Source organism: Homo sapiens, chromosome 11, assembly GCF_000001405.40.
Source record: "Homo sapiens chromosome 11, GRCh38.p14 Primary Assembly".
Classification (NCBI taxonomy): domain Eukaryota; kingdom Metazoa; phylum Chordata; class Mammalia; order Primates; family Hominidae; genus Homo; species Homo sapiens.
Window position 1 is genome coordinate 66,199,240 of NC_000011.10, and position 20,371 is coordinate 66,219,610.

Sequence of the window (20,371 nt, forward strand, 5' to 3'; positions counted from 1 at the left end):
AGGAGTCGGAGCTTGCAGTGAGCCGAGATCGCACCACTGCACTCCAGCCTGGGCAACAGAGCGAGACTCCATCTCAAAAAAAAAAAAAAAAGAGGGAGGGGGGATGAAGTTGAACTATAGAGTTTTTATTGGTTTTCTCTTTGCTTCTTTGTTTTTTGTTTTTGCAATCAGAGTTAACTTACCATTCAGTTTAAAATAATGTTTTATAAGATGTTATTTGCAAGCCTCATGGTAACTGCAAATCAAAAAACCCTAAAACAGATACACAAAAAATAAAAAGCAAGAAATTAAAAACATACCATCAGAGAAAATGACTTTCACAAAAAGAAAGACAAGAAGGAAAGAAGGAAGGAAGATAAGACCACAAAACAACCAGAAAACAAATAACAAAATGGCAATAGTAAGGCCTTACTTATCAATAATAACATTGAATGTAAATGGACAAAATTCTGCAATCAAAAGACGTGGAGTAGTTGAATGCATTAAAAAACAAGACCCAGCTGGGCACGGTGGCTCATGCCTGTAATCCCAGCACTTTGGGAGCCCAAGGCGGGCAAATCATGAGGTCAGGAGTTCGAGACCAGCCTGGCCAACACAGTGAAACCCCATCTCTACTAAAAATACAAAAAATTAGCTGGGTGTAGTGGCGTACACCTGTAATCCCAGCTACTCGGGAGGCTGAGGCAGGAGAATCGCTGGAATCTGGGAGGTGGAGGTTGCAGTGAGCCCAGATTGCACCACTGCACTCCAACCCAGGCAACTGTGCGAGACTCTGTCTCAAAAAAACAAAAACAAAAACAAAACAAAACAAAAAAAAAAACAAGACCCAGCTAGGCACAGTGGCTCATGCCTATAATCCCAGCACTTTGGGAGGCTGAGGTGAGAGTATTGCTTGAGCTCAGGGGTTTGAGACCAGCTTGGGCAACATAGTAGGACCTTGGGTCTACAAATAATTTGAAAAATTAGCTGGATGTGGTGGTGTGCACCTGTAGAGTCATCTACTCAGGAGTCTGAGGTAGAAGGATCACTTGAGCTCAGGAGGTTAAGGCTAAAGTGAGCTATGATTGTGCCAGTACACTCCACCTTGGGCAACAGAGTGAGACGCTGTCTCAGAAAAACAAAAACGAAAACATGATCCAAACATCTATCGCCTACGAGAATCACACTTGACCTGTAAAGACACATAGAGACTAAAAATAAAGGGTTGGAAAAATATACTCTATGCAAATGGAAACAAACAAAAAAAAAAAGAGTAGGAATAGCTATACTTATATCAGACAAAATAGATTTCAAGACAAAAATTGTAAAAATTGATAAGTTCATTATATAATGATAAAGGGGTCAACTCAGCAAGAAGATATAACAATTGTAAATATATATGCACCTAACACTGGAGCACCCAGATATATAAAGCAAATATTACTAGAGCTAAAGAGAGTGTTAGACCCCATTACAACAATAGCTAGAGACTTTAACACCCCACTTTCAGCATTGGAAAGATCATCCAGACAAAATAAAGAAACATCAGACTTAACCGCACTATAGACCAAATGGACCGAATAGATATTTACAGAACATTTCTTCCAATGGCTGCAGAATACACTTTTTTTTTTCATTAGCATGTGGATCATTCTCAAGGATAGGCCATATGTTAGGTTACAAAACAAGTCTTAAAACATTCAAAAAAAAAAAAAGTTGAGGCCAGGTGTGGTGACTCACGCCTGTAATCCCAGCACTTTGGGAGGCCAAGGTGGGTGGATCATGAGATCAGGAGATCCATAGCATCCTGGCCAAAATGGTGACAGCCCGTCTGCCCTAAAAATACAAAAATTAGCTGGGCGTGGTGGCAGGCGCCTGTAGTCTCAGCTACTCAGGAGGCTGAGGCAGGAGAATTGCTTGAACCCTGGAGGTGGAGGTTACAGTGAGCGGAGATTGCGCCACTGCACTCCAACCTGGGTGACAGAGTGAGCCTCTGTCTCAAAAAAAAAAAAAGTTGAAATAATATCAGGCATCTTCCCTGACCATAATGGAATAAAACTAGAAATCAATAGCAAGGAATTTTGAAAGCAATAGGCACACATGGAATTAAACAGTATGCTCCTAAATGACCAGTGGGTCAATGAATAAATTAAAAAGGAAAATTGAAATTTTCTTGAAGCAAATGATAATGGAAACACAACATATCAAAACCTATGGGATACAGCAAAAGCAGTACCAAGAGGGAAATTCGTAGCTATAAGTGCCTACATCAAAAAAGAAGAAAGACTTCAAATAAACAACTTAATGATGCTTCTTAAAGAACTAGAAAAGCAAGAGCAAACCAAACCCAAAATTAGTAGAAGAAAAGAAATAATGAACATCATAGCAGAAATAAATGAAATTGAAAAAAAAAAGTCAACAAAACAAAATGTTTTGGGTTTTTGTTTTTTTTTTTTCTGAGACGGAGTTTTACTCTTGTTGCCCATGCTGGAGTACAGTGGTGCAATCTCAGCTCATTGCAACCTCTGCCTCCCAGGTTCAAGTGATTCTCCTGCCTCAGTCTCCTGAGTAGTTGGGATTACAGGCGCGCACCACCATCGCGGCTAATTTTTGTATTTTTAGTAGAGACGAGGTTTCACCTTATTGGCCAGGCTGGTCTTGAACTCCCAGCCTCAGGTGATCTGCTTGCCTTGGCCTTCGGTGCTGGGATTACAGGTGTGAGCCATCACACCCGGCCAAAGAGTTGTTTTTTGAGAAGACAAAATGGATAAACCTTTAGCCAGACCAAATAAGAAAAAAAGAGAGAAGACACAAATAAATCAGAGATGAAAAAAGAGGTGACTGACACTGCAGAAATTCAAAGGATCATTAGTGGCTGCTATGAGCAGCTATATACCGATAAACTGGAGAACCTAGAAGAAATGGATAAATTCCTGGAAAGATACAACCTTCCAAGATTGAACCATGAAGAAATTCAAAACCTGAATAGACCAATAACAAAAAATGAGCTAGATGCCATTAACAAAGTCTTCCAGCAAAGAAAAGCCCAGGCCTTGATAGCTTCACTACTGAATTTTACCAAACATTTAAGAAGAACTGTTTCAAAAAATAGAGAATAATTCCAGACTCAATCTATGAAACCAATATTCCTCTGATACCAAAACCAAAGAAAGTGACAGGGCAGTATCTCTGATGACCACTGATACAAAAATCATCAAGAAAATACTAGCAGAGTTCAGCAACACATTAAAAACATCATTCATCATGACCAAGTGAGATCCCAGGGATGTGCAAGGATGGTTCAGCATACACAAATCAATTAATGTGATACATCATATCAACAGAATGAAGGACAAAACCCATGTGATAATCTCAATTGATGCCAAATGGCTGGGTGTTGTGGCTCCCACCTGTAATCCCAGCACTTTGGGAGGCCAAGGTAGATGGATCGCTTGAGGCCAAGAATTTGAGACCAGCCTGGGCAACATGGCAAAACCTCATCTCTAGGAAAAAAAAAAAAAAAAATATATATATATATATATATATATATATATATATATATATTCTGAAAAAGCATTTGATAAAATTCAACAAGGCTTCATGATAAAAATCCTCAAAAAATGGGTATAAAAGAAACATACCTCAACACAATAAAAGCCATATATGACAGACCTATCACTTGTATCAGACTGAACGGAGAAAAACTGAAAGCCTTTCCTTTAAGATCTGGAACAAGACAAGGATCATCACTTTCACCACTGTTATTCAGTATAGTACTGGAAGTCCTAACTAGAGCAGTCAGGCAAGAGAAAGAAATAAAGGCATCCAGATTGGAAAGGAAGAAATCAAATTATCCTTGTTTGCAAATGATATGCTCTTCTATGTGGAAAAACCTACACTTCACAAAATAACTATTAGAACTGATAAAATCAGTGAAGTTGCAGGATACAAAATCAACATACAGAAAATAGGTAGCATTTCTATATGTCAACAGTGAACAATCTGAAAAAGAAATCAAGAAAGTAATCCCATTTACAAGAGCTACAAATAAGATACCTAGGAATAAACTTAACCAAAGAAGTGAAATATCTCTATATTAAAAACTGTAAAACATTGATGCAAGAAATCTAAATAGACACACAAAAAATGGAAAGATATTCCATATTCATGGATTGGAAGAATCAATATTGTTAAAATGTCCATACCACCCAAAGCAATCTACAGATTCAATGCAATCCCTATCAAAATACCAATGACATTCTTCACAGAAATAGAAAAAAAAAATCCTAAAATGTATATGGAACCACAGAAGACCCAGAATAGCCAAAGCCATCCTGAGCACAAAGAACAAAATTAGAGAAATCACATTATCTGACTTCAAATTATACTACAGAACTATAGTAACCAAAACAGCATGGTGCTGGCATAAAAACAAACACCTACACCAATGGAAGAGAATAGATAATCTAGCAATAAATCCATACATCTACAGTGAACTAATTTTCAACAAAGGTGCCAAGAACATACACTGGGGAAAGGACAATCTCTTCAATAAATGATGCTGGGAAAACTGGATATCTATATGCAGAGGAATTAAACTAGACTGTTGTCTCTCACTATATACAAAAATCAGATAAAAATTGACTGGAGACTTAACTCTAATACCTGAAACTATGACACTACTAAAAGAAAACATTTTTCCAACTGCTTTGGCCACTAAAATAATAAAAATAAAAGAAAACATTGGGGAAACTCTCCAGGAAATTGATCTGGGCAGAGATTTCTTGTGTAATACCTGGCACTGGCAACCAAAGCAAAAATGGACAAATGGGATCACATCAAGTTAAAAAGCTTCTGGGCCAGGCACGGTGGCTCATGCCTGTAATCCCAGCACTTTGAGAGGCCAACAAGGGATCCCTTGTCCATCTGACAAGGGATTAATAACCAGACTATATAAGGAGCTCAAACAACTCAGGAAAATATCTAATAATCCGATTAAGAAATGGGCAAACGATCTGAATAGACATCTCTCAAAAGAAGACCTACAAGTGGCAAACAGGCATATGAAAGGGTATGTAACATCATTAATTGTCAGAGAAATGCTAATCAAAACTACAATGAGATATCATCTCACCCCAGTTAAAATGGCTTTTATCCAAAAGACAGGCAATAGTGAATCCTGGTGAGGATGTAGAGAAAAGGGAACCCTCGTACACTGTTGGTAGGAATGTAAGTTAGTATAGCGAATATGGAAAATAGTATGGAGTTTCCTCAAAAAACCAAAATAGTCCCATGTAGCACTATTCACAATAGCCAAGATTTGGAAGCACCTAAGTGTCCATCAACAGACAAACTGATAAAGAAAATGTGGTACATATACACAATGGAGTACTATGCAGCCATAAAAAAGAATGAGTTCCTGTCATTTGCAATAACATGGATGGAACTGGAGGACATTATGTTAAATGAAATAAGCCAGGTACAGAAAGACATACTTTGAATGTTCTCACTTACTTCTGGGAGTTAAAAATTAAAGTCATGGAGATAGTCTAATGATGGTTACCACAGGCTCATATGGGCAGTCGGGCAGTGATGATAGTTAATGGATACAAAAACATAGAATGAATAAGACCTGGTATTTGGCCAAGCATGGTGGCTCACGCCTGTAATCCTAGCACTTTGGGAGGCTGAGGTAGGAAGATTCCTTGAGTCCAGTAGTTTGAGACCAGCCTGAGCACCATAGTGAAACCCCATCTCTATTTTTTAAAAACTTTTTTTTTTTTGAAACGGAGTTTCACTCTTGTTGCCTAGGCTGCAGTGCAATGGCGCAATCTCAGCTCACTGCAACCTCCACCTCCCAGGTTCAAGCGATTCTCCTACCTCAGCCTCCCAAGTAGCTGGGATTACAGGTGTGCACCATCATGCCCAGCTAAATTTTGTATTTTTAGTAGAGACTGGGTTTCACCATGTTGCCCAGGCTGGTCTTGAACTCCTGACCTCAGGTGATCTGCCCGCCTCAGCGTCCCAAAGTGCTGGGATTACAGGCATGAGCCACCACGCCCAGCCAAAACAATTATTTTAATTATAAAAATTTTTTTAATGTTTTAAAGATCTGATATTTGATAGTGCAACAGGACGATTACAGTCAATGATAATTTATAGTACATTTAAAAATAACTAAAAGTATAATTGGAATATTTGTAACATAAATAAATGATAAATGCTTGAGGCGATGGATACCCAATATAACCTGATGTGATTATTACATGTTGTATGCCTGTACCAAAATGTCTTATGTACCCCATAAATATATATGCCATGTACCCATAAAAATTATTAGTTAAAAATTGAAATAAAGAATAAATGAAAAATAACAGCTTATTTTCAGACATCCAAGAAACCCCAACAAATTTCCTCAAATATCACTACAATACTCTTAATTTTTTTTTTTTTTTTTTGAGAATGGGATCTCACTATGTTGCCCAGGCAGCTCTTATACTCCTGGGCTCAAGCTATCCTTCCACCTCTGCCTCCTTAAGTGCTGGGATTACAGGCATGAGCCACCACATTCAGCAATAATACTGTTAAATATCTATATGATAAGAATTTTTGGTTTAAATAAGAAGCATTTAAAACAGCAGTAACCTGGCCGGTCACGGTGGTTCATGTCTGTAAATCCCAGCACTTGGGAGGCCAAGGCAGGTGGATCACCTGAGGTCAGGAGTTCAAGACCAGCCTGGGCGACATGGTCAAACCCCATCTCTACTAAAAATACAAAAATTAGCCCGGCATTTTGGCACATGCCTGTAGTGCCAGCCACTGGGGAGGCTGAGGCAGGAGAATCGCTTGAGCCTGGGAGGCGGAGGTTGCAATGAGTTAAGATTGCACCACTGCACTCCAGCCTGTGCAACAGAGTGAGACTCTGTCTCAAAATAATAATAATAAAACACCAGTAACCTAATTTTTAAAATAATATTAATATTGGATATTTTAATGTGCTATGTTACTTTAGTATTAAATATAAATGGTTTTGCTTCTATACTGCAAAAGAAGATATACTGTTATATAGATAAACAAATGATACAAAAGTATATTAAAAATAATTTTGAAATTGGACCCTGGTTGGTAGTGCCCCAGGCACCTGGAAGAAGCAAATACTGGAACCCATGAAAGCTAAACCCCTGGGGAAGGGTAGTAAAGATGAGGACAGTAGTGCACCATGCTTGAAAGGGCTGGGCTGGGCTGGGCCTGGCTGCGATCCCGTGACACACTGCACTCCGCATCCTGCTACCTGCACACGCAGATTACTTCTAGCGAATTTGAAATTCAGATAGTGAATTTGGGATACAAAGTTTTACAGGTATTTAGAGCACATACTTGGGTGGTGAGAGTTCATATAATCATATAATGAGGCTACTGCTGTTGGAAGGTGATGTCCTATAGTGACAATAACTAAGATAAAGGGGACCGAGAGGGCTGGGGTGGAGGAAGTTAACGGATTCCCTACGGTGGTCACGGTAGACCTGGTTGAGAAGATGACATTTACCCAAAGACTTTGAGGGAGGTGAGGGCCATGCAGGTATCTGGAGGAAGAGCCTTCCAGGCAGAGGGAAGACCCAGGACCAGGCCCTCAGGCCTTCATATTCTGTGAATATATGCTCTGAGCTGAGAAATCTTAAAAGAACCCTAAGCACTGATTACTTTTTTCAACTTTTATTTTGGAAAAATCTCAAACGTGCAAAAGTAGACGAAGTAGTTTACAATTCCCTCGAACCCCTTACTAAGCTGCAGTTGTTATCAACTTATGGCCAGTCTCGTTTCGTCTGTGTCCCCACTGTTTCCCTTCACCAGTGTTATTTTGAGGCAATCCGTACATCATAACATTTCACCCACAAATATGTCGATATGTATTTCAAAAATGTAGGCAGTATATTTAAACAAAACCTCGATACCATTATCACACCTTGGCCAGACGCGGTGGCTCATGCCTGTAATACCAGCACTTTGGGAGGCCAAGGGGAGCGGATAACTTGAGATCAGGAGTTCAAGGCCAGCCTGGCCAACATGATAAAACCTCATCTCTACTAAAAATACAAAAATTAGCTGGGCGTGATGGCACTCACCTGTAATCCCAGCTACTCAAGAGGCTAAGGCAAGAGAGTCGCTTGAACCTGGGAGGCGGAGATTGCAGTGAGCCGAGATCACACTACTGTACTCCAGCCTAGTCGACAGAGCAAGACTCTATCTAAAATAACAAAAACCTTAATATCACAAAATCAGTGTTCAAATTTCCAGTTGTGGCATGAATCTCATAAATGTGTGGGTCTTGTGGGAGAGAGTGGCTGTTGGTTTTGCTTTTTATAGTTTATTTGATGCATTCGGTCTTCAGTTGCCACTATAGCACTCGAGCTTCCGGGTGTCCTGAGGCCCTGGCCTGTGTGCGGGCTGGCTGTGTGCTTCTGCTGATGTTATTTTATTTTTGCTGTTTTTTGAGACAGAGTCTCGTTCTGTTGCCCAGGCTGGAGTGCAGTGATATAATCTTGGCTTTTGTTTTGTTTTGTTTTTTTTTGAGACGGAGTCTCGCTCTGTTGCCCAGGCTGGAGTGCAATGATATGATCTTGGCTTATTCCAACATCTGCCTCCTAGGCTGAAATGATTCTCCCACACAGCCTCCTGAGTAGCTGGGATTACAAGTGCACGCCACTATGCCTGGCTAATTTTTGTATTTTTCGTAGAGACGAGGTTTCCCAGTGTTGCCCAGGCTGGTCTTGAAGTCCTGAGCTCAGGTGATCCGCCCACCTCAGCCTCCCAAAGTGCCGGGATTACAGGTGCCACCACACCCAGGCTTCTGCTGATTTTATACCCAGCCTTCCCCCTATGGCCATTACCCATAGGCAGCATCGCTATATAATGACATAACCATCAGGGCTCCACTTCCTTGGTCTCATTTTGGCCTCATGAGTGGCTGAGGCGTTTTTCCATGTGTGGAGTTTTCCCCTAAGGGTCAGCACCGCGGCATAGTACCATTTCAACAGAAACAGCTCCCAGAGTAATCACAGCTTTGCTGAAGACACGTGAGAGATGAGCAGCTCAAAAATTTGTCATTAATTATAAACAGGGATGAGTGTGGGGCTCAAATCTGTAATCCCAGCACTTTGGGAGGCAGTGGCAGGAAGATTACTTGAGCCGAGGAGTTCAAGACCAACCTGGGCAATGTAGCGATACCCCATCTCTACAAATAAAAAATAAAAACGGTAAAAATAATGTTTCAATGAACAGCTCCTTGTTTACAGATTTGCTTCTTTTTAAAACTCATTCCTGGCCCAGCCTGGTGGCCTATAATCCTAGCACTTTGGGAGGCTGAAGTGGAAAGATCGTTTGAGCTCAGAAGTTAAAGACCAGCCTGGGCAACATAGTGAGACCTCGTCTCTCTTTTTATTAAAAAAAAAAAAAAAGAAGAAGAAAAAGAAAGAAAGGAAGGAAGGAAAGAAAGAAAAAAATCATTCCCTCCAAGTTCATGGGATCAAGGGAGAAAAAAGAAAATAATATATAAAAATCATGCCCTTAGAATTTATTTTTTTGGATTACAATTTTTGAATAGAAATGTTTCTTTATTGCCAGGCTACTTTCTAAAAGGGTTATTGTAATTTACTTTGCTTCAACAATGAATGAATTTGGAAATTCTACCACATCCTTACCAACTTTGGATGTTGTGGGGTTTTTTTTATTGGTATTAATTTTAAAACTGATTTTTTTTTAGACAAATTTATTCAACACTGTTTATTTGTGTGCTGGGAATCATACTGAACAAGACATATCTTTGTCTCATGGATCTTGAAGTTTAGTGAGATTCAGTAACTGGCAGTAAGAGGGCTGTCTAACCCAAATACAAGGTTTGGAGGCGGGGAGGTTACAGAGGAAGTTCCTGGGAAAAAAAAATTCAGCTGAGACCTGAAAGATGAGTTGGTTACTTGTGTTCAGAAGCCAAAAAAAGCATCCAAGAAGAGAAGAAAAGCACATGAAAAGGCCCAGAGACAAGACAGTATGCCTGGGGAGTCAGAGGGAGGATCACTTGAAGTCAGGAGTTCGAGGCCAGCCCGGCCAACATGGCAGTAAGAGGGCTGTCTAACCCAAATATTAGGTTTGGAGAGCAGGGAGGTTAAAGAGGAAGTTCCTGGGAAAAAAAAGGAACAGTGGGCAGGGAGGGTCTTACACACCCTGGGGACTGACACTACCGGCCTCTTCCCCAGGAGTGCTGGGAACTCACAGACGTTAACAAATCATTTTGCTGTGATAACCTTTTATGCACCCTACAGCATCATATATGTAAAATCAGACTTATGGTAGAGGCTTGATTCAAATAAGTACAATAAAGACTCATGAAATATTTGGACTGGTAAGAATGTTTGGGCCGGGCTCAGTGACTCACACCTGTAATCCCAGCACTTTGGGAGGCTGAAGCAAGCTGATCATCTGAGGTCAGGAGTTCAAGGCCAGCACATGGTGAAACCCTGTCTCTACTAAAAATACAAAAAAATTAGCCGGGCATTGTGGCAGGTGCCTGTAGTCCCAGCTACTCAGGAGGCTGAGGCAGGGTAATCGCTTGAACCTGGGAGGCGGAGGTTGCAGTGCGCCGAGATCACGCCACTGCAGTCCAGCCTGGGTGACAGAATGAGACTCGTCTCAAAAAAAATAAAATTTAATTTTTTTTTTTTAAAGAATGCTTGTAGAGTTTAGAAGTTGTTTGCAAACATAGTATTTCTTTTGGTCTGATTTTTGGTGACACAGCTTTGACAGATTTTTTTTTTCTTTTTATTATTGATATTATTTGAGACAGGGTCTCTCTCTGTCACCCAGGCTGGAGTGCAGTGGCAGGATCATGACTCACTGCAGGCTTGAACTCCTGGGCTCAAGTGATCCTCGCACCTCAGCCTCCTGAGTTGCTGGGACTACAGGCATGTGTACCACCACACCCAGCCAATTTTTTTTATTTTTTGTAGAAACAGGAGTCTCACTATGTTGCCCCAGGCTGGTCTCAAACTCCTGAGTCCAAGCAGTCCTTCTGCCTCAGCCTCCCAAACTGCTGGGATTACTGGCACAAGCCACTGCACCTGGCCAAACAGACTTTTCTTCTTGGTTTCAGGGTTCAAAAAGAATTCTTCGCTCCAACGAGATCGTCCTTCCAGCTAGTGGACTGGTGGAAACAGAGCTCCAATTAACCTTCTCCCTTCAGGTGAGACTCTCCTAATCTTAGGCCCCTAACATGCTATATCCTGGCTAGTCCCCAGACAGTCCTCTAACCCAGAGACTGTTTTATCCCAGAGCCCCCATTCCCCAACTTGGGCAGGAATGAATAAAAGTCACCTGGAGGTTTATGGCTGGCCTGGAGGGCCAAAGCAACCCTTTAGCCAGTGACGGTAAGGGTGTGGAGACCTGGGTAGGCACCGTGGCCCCTTCCCTTCCTCTGCCTTGGCTAACACTGTTAGCCATCTGCTGCACCACATCACATCTCCTTAGTGATCCTCGCACACCCCGTGGACTGTGCCACCATCAGCCTCCACGTCGGGATCTCCGTCCTTCCCCTCTACTCCGTATCCCTCCTAGTCGGTGTCCCTCTCATCGTAATTCCAGTAATTCAATGCCCAAATTGAAACACATGGAGAAAACACCTGATAAAGTGGCAAGGGAAGAGACAGTTCTCTGAATAGGTGTGGACCCCAGAGCTGTGGCGTAGAAGCCAGGCATCAAGCCGAATCAGCTCCACCAGCAGCAACTTCATGGCTCTCCTTTCAACCCTGACTGCCCCCTTTTAGAGACAGGAAGAATTGAAGCACAGAAAGACTGTGTGTCCTCCAGAACCCCTCAAGGACCCAGCTGCCCATTAACCACGCTCGACTCTGTTTTGTATTTCGTAGTACCCTCATTTCCTTAAGCGAGATGCCAACAAGCTGCAGATCATGCTGCAAAGGAGAAAACGTTACAAGAATCGGACCATCTTGGGCTATAAGACCTTGGCCGTGGGACTCATCAACATGGCAGAGGTGAGAGGAACACAGTCTCCAGACTGTTGGCCTTTGAGTCACAGAGCCCAAGGGACACCCCAGCCCAGCCAGTTGAGCCTTCCAGATGATTTTCCCAGCCTGCTGGCTAGGTGCTTAATTCTGTTTTACGAGTTAATTATTTGCTGGAAATTCAGAGTATACTTGTTTTTATCAAATACTGTCTCCTTCATGAAAAGTTTTAATTTTTAAACAGGTAAAACTCAAAAAATTACATAAAATTTCAAACTTTCAGAAAAGTTACAAGAATAGTACAAAGAGTTCCCATATGTGGATTCATCCAAGTTCTTTAACATATCACCACATTTCATATGCTCTCCTCATAGATATATTGATAGGTATTATTTTCTGAGCCATCCGAGAGTAAGTTGCTGGCACGATGCCCCATTACACGTTAATACTGCACCACGTTAATTTCCTTAACATGAGAATACTCTGCTGTCTAAACTCCCTGCCACCATCAAGATCAGGACACTAACGTTGAGATAAGATTGCCGTCTAACCCACAGTCCCTATTCGGATTGTGCTGAGTGTCTCAGTGATACCCTTTATGGGCCTGGGATCCGATCTAGGATTATGTGCCGCATATCACTGTGTCCTTCGTCCCCTTCGGTCTGCAGCAGCCCCTCGGTTTTCCTTACCTTTCATGACCTTGACATTTTTTAAGCGCACAGGCTGGTTACTTTTTTGAATACTCCTCAGTCCAGGTTCGCCTGATGTTGCCTCAAGATTAGATTCCACCTGTGTGTTTCTGGCAGCATTACCACAGAAGTGCTCTGTTCTCAGTGCAGCTTAGGCAGCACCTGATGGCAATTGGTTCCTTTCCTGGGGATATTAACTTTTAATTTTTTTTATTTTTACTTTTTTTTTTTTGAGATGGAGTCTTGCTCTGTCGCCAGGCTGGAGTGCAGTGGCATGATCTTGGCTCACTGAAACCCCCGCCTCCCGGGTTCAAGTGATTCTCCTACCTTAGCCTCCTGAGTAGCTGGGACTACAGGCGTGCACCACCATGCCCAGCTAATTTTTTTTTTTTTTTAGTAGAGACGGGGTTTCACCATGTTGGCCAGGATGGTCTCATTCTCCTGACCTTGTGATCCGCCCGCCTTGGCCTCCCAAAGTGCTGAGATTACAGGCATGAGCCACTGCGCCTGGCCTTAACTTTTTTTTTTTTTTTTTAGAGACGAGGTCTTGCTCTGTTGTCCAGGCTGGTCTCAAACTCCCAGGCTCAAGCAATCCTCCCTCCTTGGCCTCCCAAAGTGCTGGGATTATAGGCATCAGCCTCTGTGCCCGGCCTGATATTATCACTTGGTTAACATGGAGTCTGCAGGGTTTTTCCACCACAAAGTTAATTAATAAGCATTTTGTACTTACTGGAAAAAATATTTTACGAGGAGGTAAATATATTAAGGGGAGAAGAAGAAAGGCAACTATCTTTTTCCTTATCACATTTCACCCACTAGTTTTAGCATCTATTCATGATTCTTGCCTGAATTGGTCATCACTATACTTGGATGCTTACCAGACAGTGAATTTCTAATCCCACCATTCCTTACATATTTATTAATTGGCTTTATTTATTTATTTATTTTCGAGACAGAGTCTCACTTCATCACCCAGGCTGGAGTGCGCTGGCACAATCTCGGCTCACTGCAACCTCTACCTCCCGGGTTCCAGCAGTTCTCCTGCCTCAACCTCCAGAGTAGCTGGGATTACAGGGACCCGCCACCATGCCCGGCTAATTTTTTTTATATTTTTAGTAGAGATGGGGTTTCACCATGTTGTCTGGGCTGGTCTTGAACTCCTGGCCTCAAGTGATCCGCTGCTTTGGCCTCCCAGAGTGCTGGGATTACAGGCGTGAGCCACTGCTCCCGGCCTCATTAATTGGCTTTCTGTAGTAAGATAGTGCTTTTCCTTTGCTCTCATTTATTTGTATCAGTTATGGACCGTGGGTTCCTGTTTTATTTGATGGGGCTGAATCTGCTACTATCATTTTTTTATTTTGATGCACAAACTTATCAGATTTGGCCCATGGGAGCCCCTTCATGCCAGCTTTGAGTCCTTAGTAATATGTCTCATCATTCGTTACATCCTACCGTACTTTCTGGTACAAAACATTTCAGGCTCATCTTGTACTTTCCCTGACCCAGCTCCCAGAATGAGCAGATTCTCTGAGGAGCCCTGGTTCTTTTCAGTAGAGGATGGTGTTCAGAAACCAAGATCTGGGTACCAGGAGTGCCCATGTCCCCAACTGGGTGTCATGCACTCCCACTGAGCAGACAGAGCTGAGAAAGATCTGTCTGTATGCACACATGTGCTCGTGTCTACACACGTCACAGCTCCTTTCAGGTCTAGGTCCAGATCTATCTAACCGTGAGCACACATCGATAATTTCAGTTCCAACCCAATGCCTTTTTATAGCTTTTCTTTCTCCATGTTTCTAATTCCCTTTTGGAATGGTAAGAAGTCAGGCTGTGGGCTGGGCGCAGTGGCTTACGCCTGTAATTCCAGCACTTTGGGAGGCTGTGGCAGGCGGATCACGAGGTCAGGAGATCGAAACCATCCTGGCTAACACGGTGAAACCCCATCTCTACTAAAAATACAAAAAATTAGCCGGGCATGGTGGCGGGCGCCTGTAGTCCCAGCTACTCGGGAGGCTGAGGCAGGAGAATGGCGTGAACCCAGGAGGTGGAGCTTTCAGTGAGCCGAGATTGCGCCACTGCACTCCAGCCTGGGCGACAGCGCGAGACTCCATCTCAAAAAAAAAAAAAAAAAAAAAAAAAGGCTGTGATTATTCTCAATACATGTACTCATTGGTGCAGCTCCCTGTGTGCCAGGCAGTTCCTCTCAATCCTAACAGGAAGAAGAAAGCAGCCGCTAATCTGTTTTTAAAATTATTTCTGTACTTTAGTAAATTAAATAGGAACAATTTTGTGGCCATGATAGAAAATTTGAGATAGTTCCAGCCCGTCTTTCTGTCCTGCTCAGTCAGTGTTTGTGTCAGTGTGGAGACGGGGCAGTGAATTCCCGCCAGCACCCACTGCCCCTGCTACGCCAGGCTCTGCCATTCCCTGTAGACTGGGCTCCTTTTCCTCATTGCCAGTGACAGGCGACCACCACCTATAGGCCTGGCCTCACCCAGACTCAAGAGCAAGTTTCTCTGTGAAGGACTTACACTAAAATTAGTCTTAGAGATTAGCAACCATTTCTTTCCTTCCTTCCTTCCTTCCTTTTTCTTCCTTTCTTTCCTTTCCTTCCTTTCCTTTCCCTCCCTCCCTCCCTCCATCTTCCTTCCTTCCTTCTCTCTCTCGCTCCCATTCTTTCTTCCTTTCTTCTTTTTCTTTTCTTTTTTTTTTTTTTTTCCTGAGATAGAGTCTCACTCTGTCACCCAGGCTGGAATGCAGTGGTGCAATCACAGCTCACTACAGCCTCGACTTCCTGGGCTCAGGTGATTCTCCCACCTCAGCCTCCTGAGTAGCTGCAACTACAGGCATGCGCCACCACACCCAGCTGATTTTTTTATTTTTAGTAGAGACGGGGTTCCACCATGTTGCTCAGGCTGGTCTCAAACTCCTGGACTCAAGCAATCTGCCCGCCTCAGCCTCCCAAAGTGCTGGGATTGCAGGAACAGGCTACTGTGCCCGGCCAAGCAACCATTTTCTTTTCTTTTCTTTTTTAGATGGAGTGTTGCTCTGTGACCCAGGCTGGAGTGCAATGGCACAATCACGACTCACTGCAACCTCTGCCGCCTGGGTTCAAGTGATTCTCCTGCCTCAGCCTCCTGAGTAGCTGGGACTACAGGCGCCCACCACCACACCTGGCTAATTTTTTGTATTTTTAGTAGAGACGGGGTTTCACTATGTTAGCCAGGATGGTCTTGATCTCCTGACCTCATGATCCGCCTGCTTTGGCCTCCCAAAGTGCTGGGATTACAGGTGTGAGCCACCACACCTGGCCCGAGCAGCCATTTTCAATCTTTGATTGTTATCTTTAAGCACATGGCCCTGACCAGCACTTCTGGGGATAATTTTAAAGTTAAGACCTTAGGCCAAATGCAGTGGCTCACGCCTGTAATCCCAGCACTTTGGGAGGCCAAGGCAGGAGGATTGCTTGAGCCCAAGATTTCGAGATCAGACTGGGCAACATAGTGAGACCCCATCTCTACATAAAATTTAAAAATTAGCCAGGCATGGTGGTGTGTGCCTGTGGTCCCAGCTACTGAGGCTGAGGCGGGAGGATCACTTGAGCCTGGGAGGTCGAGACTGTAGTGAGCTGTGATCACACCAGTGCGTGCCAGCCTGGGTGACAGAGTGAGACCCTGCCTTTAATAATAATAAAAAACAGGCTGGGTGCAGTGGCTCACACTTGTTATCCCAGCACTTGGGAGGCCGAGGCGGGCAGATCATGAGGTCAGGAGTTTGAGACCAGCCTGGCCAACATAGTGAAACCCTGTCTCTACTAAAAATGCAAAAAATATTAGCTGAGCGTGGTGGCAGACGCCTGTAATCCCAGCTACTTGGGAGCCTGAGGCAGGAGAATCGCTTGAACCTGGGAGGCAGAGGTTGCAGTGAGCCGAGATCACGCCACTGCACTCCAGCCTGGGCGACAGTGAGAGACTCCGTCTCAAAAATAATAATAATAATAATAATAATAATAATAATAATAATAATAATAATAAACAAAGTAAGACCGTGAAGCAGTAGGACAGTAGGCATGGATTTGAAAGTAAGGAAGAAAACGTATCAGCAGAATGCTGTTGCCCCTGGGGTCTTGTGCATTCCTTGGCTGTGTTTCTCCAGGTGCCTCTGTAGTAACACGCCTCCACCACCTCCCCTGGCTCCTAGGTGATGCAGCATCCTAATGAAGGCGCACTGGTGCTTGGCCTACACAGCAACGTGAAGGATGTCTCTGTGCCTGTGGCAGAAATAAAGATCTACTCCCTGTCCAGCCAACCCATTGACCATGAAGGAATCAAATCCAAGCTTTCTGGTAAGAAGCATGCAGCATCTGGAGACCCTACGAAGAGGGAGCCCATCCTGGGAAAGGTGAACAAGACAGTGCCTGAGATGTTCCTGGGCAAGAGACCTTTAGAGACCCCTGAAAGTAAAATGTGGCTTCGGCCCTGGCCCTCCCCTCCACCCTGGCTGTGTTTCCACCCAAAGAGAACCATTGATTCCAGCCCATCGAAGTTTCTTAGGCCAGATCTTCCCATTGCAAGGTTATCTTACTCAGGTGTCTGTTGCAGATCGTTCTCCTGATATTGACAATTATTCTGAGGAAGAGGAAGAGAGTTTCTCATCAGAACAGGAAGGCAGTGATGATCCATTGCATGGGCAGGTAACTTTCTGTGGTCCCTCACATGGCGTGTCCAAGAAGCTCCTGGGGTTTCCCACCCTCATTCTGTCCCTGTACCCACTTAGGACTTGTTCTACGAAGACGAAGATCTCCGGAAAGTGAAGAAGACCCGGAGGAAACTAACCTCAACCTCTGCCATCACAAGGGTGAGCCTCAAAGGTCTGGGGAGTGGTTGGCTAAGATTTTCAGTCTGGGGGTAGGTTGGCAGCAGCATATTCAGGCCTAGTGGAGACTTCTTAAAATCAACACAGGGTCATCCCTTCAACGATTCCAATGAACGCTCTATATCCTCACCACCGCCCAATTAGACTCACTGTTGTTGGGAACCACAATTACTGATAAGAGTGTTATATCCTTCAGGTTATCGTCAGATAGAAAAAAGGAGGAGAACCCTTCTTGTAGAATTCAGAACAGATAGTGGTCCATCAGGGAACAGACCGCCTCCCACCCACTCCAGTGGCTGCTTCATGTCACATGCTGTCCTCTGCAGCGAGAAAGCCAGCTCCCTCTAGGAGTAGCACTAGTTTTAATCATGTGCTGAACTTAGGCAGAGATAATAGGCTAGTCATGGGGTGCTCCTATGACCCTGGGCTTGCTAAGCTTTAATTACATCAGATATCGTTCCTGCCTTAACGGATCCATAACCTTGGAGACCAGGTGCCTTTTGATACTTTTCCTCCATAAGACTTCCTCAAGAGTCACTGTTTTGATGACATTTGAGTCCTGAACTAAGAAGCTAAAAACCTGAATTCCTAGGTGGTCTTTGACAGATTCTGGAGTGCCTGCATGAAGTGTGGGAGGGCCAGAAGTGCTGGGAGCATTTCCGAAGGGGAATTCACAGCTCCATTTACCCAGAGGCATCCTGATTCTCCCCAGTGCAGAGCTAGCCTAGGGACCAAACCCCTGAGAGCCGAGATGCCCACCCCTTCAGGGATGAAACGGAGGCCAGATCACTCTCCCATCACAATGAGGTGTCACTGGACTTCAGGTAAATCCGTGAGACTGTGACCTGGATTTCCCATCCAGTCAGCAACTAGGGAGCGGGAGGACTGTTTCCTTGTCCTCAGGTATCCACCTCTCAATTGGTGCTCCAAATGGTCCCCATGAGGTGTGTCACCAGTACCCCAAATGCTTGACCTCCATTGCACTCTGGAAATAGGGAGTGGCTGTAGGATCTCTCTCTAGTCAGCCCCTACTGCTGAGGCTTTCTTTTTCCTGCTCTGTAACCAGAAAGCGGCCCTATTTTCTTCCCAACGGGTGCCCCCAGAGCTTCATAAGTCACCTCTTCCTACGTGGGGTCTCTTCCTTGGCATGACCCTGGCACATGACTGGAGTTCAGTGCTCCTGCTAATGTATACTCCCCCAGAGGTGTTTCTTTTTAAGCTGCAGGCACTTTCCAGTTCTATCCCAGAGACTCAGTGACCTCCCTTAGTGCCTGTCTCCTCTGTGCATGCGCATTCTTCTCTCCCACCAAGAACACAGATGTACTTGACCTTCTGTGAACATGTCTCATGCTGCTCTGTCACTGGGAGCTCGACTTTTTTTCTCTGCTGTGAATGCCCTTTCTGCCCTTTCTCTGAAGACCTATCAGCCTCGCAAGTTCATTGTTTTCATCCCCAGATGGCGAGTCTGTCATTCAGGCAGGAAGTACATACAACCACAGGCTAAGCATCGTGCCCAGAGACAAAGAGATAGGGCCCAGTCCATGCCATCAAGCGCACAGTGTCTAGTGACACCACACATTTCAACAAATAATTACAGCCCAGTAGGACAGGTGCCATAAGACAGAGCTTTGCAATGACACCAGGGGACTGTGGCCACCTGTCCCAGGAGTGCCAGGACAGCTTCCCAGATGAGATGCTGAGAGATGGGTTTTTTAAAATAAAACTTCACCAAGTGGATTTGGGGAAAATTTTTATTCAAGGCAGAAGATACCCTATATAAAGACCCAGTACAGTGCTGTGGCTCACGCCTGTAATCCCAGCACTTTGGGAGGCCGAGGCAGGCGCATCACAAGGTCAGGAGATCGAGACCGTCCTGGCCAACATGGTGAAACCCCGTCTCTACTAAAAATACAAAAATTAGCTTGGTGTGGTGGCACGTGCCTGTAATCCCAGCTACTCAGGAGGCTGAGGCAGGAGAGTCACTTGAACCAGGGAGGCAGAGGTTGCAGTGATCCGAGATCACCTCACTGCACTCCAGCCTGGCAACAGAGCAAGACTCCATCTCTAAAAAAAAAAAAAAAGGCCCAGTACAACAGCATGCAGTTTTTCCCAGGAACTCAAAGCAGTGAGTTTCCACTTGACTATGGGGTGTGAAGGGTCAAATAGAGAGATAAGGCTAGAAACAGGCAGACCCAGGCTTCGGACACGTACAGGCCTGACTGCTGAGCTCTGTTCAAGTAGTGGAGGCCAATGAAGACTTCTAGTCGGAGGGTAGCATGAGCAGGTTTGCACTCGGAAGGACCACTGTGGGCTGTGGAGGGAGAAAGACCAGAAGCAGGTGGGCAGGGTATGAGATGTCAGCTGAAGGCTGTTGCTATGATCCCAGAGAGGCAAGGAGAAAGGCCTGACTGGAAACAGTGGTGTCACAGATGGAAAAGGGAGGATCTGGGGTAGCTAGAATGGGCCTGCGGGGAGAACGAGAAGGAGAGACTCCAGGCGTAGATGTTGGTTCAGGTGTGTTGGCGACATCAGTAAGAGGATCGGGGTGCAAGGAGAAGACGGGACGCTGCGTTCCACCGTGGAGGTGGTAAGGCTGAGGTGCCCGCGCTGTGCATGCGCAGGTAGGAGTCAGCAGTGGGCACTGTGAATCCGAAGGGCAAGAGAAAGGGATGAGCTGGAGACCCACATTTGGGAGGTGTTGGGGCACAGGGGGGTGGAGGACCTGGGGATAGACATTCCTTCTCCCCGCAGCTGCACCCAAGGCCCAGGAGCTACACTGGAATTTGGCCTGTCTTCCTGACAGGCTTTGAGTGCCAA

General features: G+C 44.4%; 1 protein-coding gene across 3 annotated transcripts in view; it reads left to right on the plus strand.

Moving 5' to 3' along the window:
• The window catches only part of PACS1 (phosphofurin acidic cluster sorting protein 1), a 174,473-nt gene that overhangs the window by 128,968 nt on the left and 25,134 nt on the right, over positions 1 to 20,371 (plus strand). For all 3 annotated transcript variants that reach the window (NM_018026.4, XM_011545164.3, XM_011545162.2), the window contains exons 3-7: positions 11,123 to 11,212; positions 11,895 to 12,020; positions 16,880 to 17,024; positions 17,281 to 17,372; positions 17,456 to 17,536. In NM_018026.4, the coding sequence (NP_060496.2) occupies positions 11,123 to 11,212; positions 11,895 to 12,020; positions 16,880 to 17,024; positions 17,281 to 17,372; positions 17,456 to 17,536 (534 nt within the window). The remainder of the gene's footprint in view (positions 1 to 11,122; positions 11,213 to 11,894; positions 12,021 to 16,879; positions 17,025 to 17,280; positions 17,373 to 17,455; positions 17,537 to 20,371) is intronic.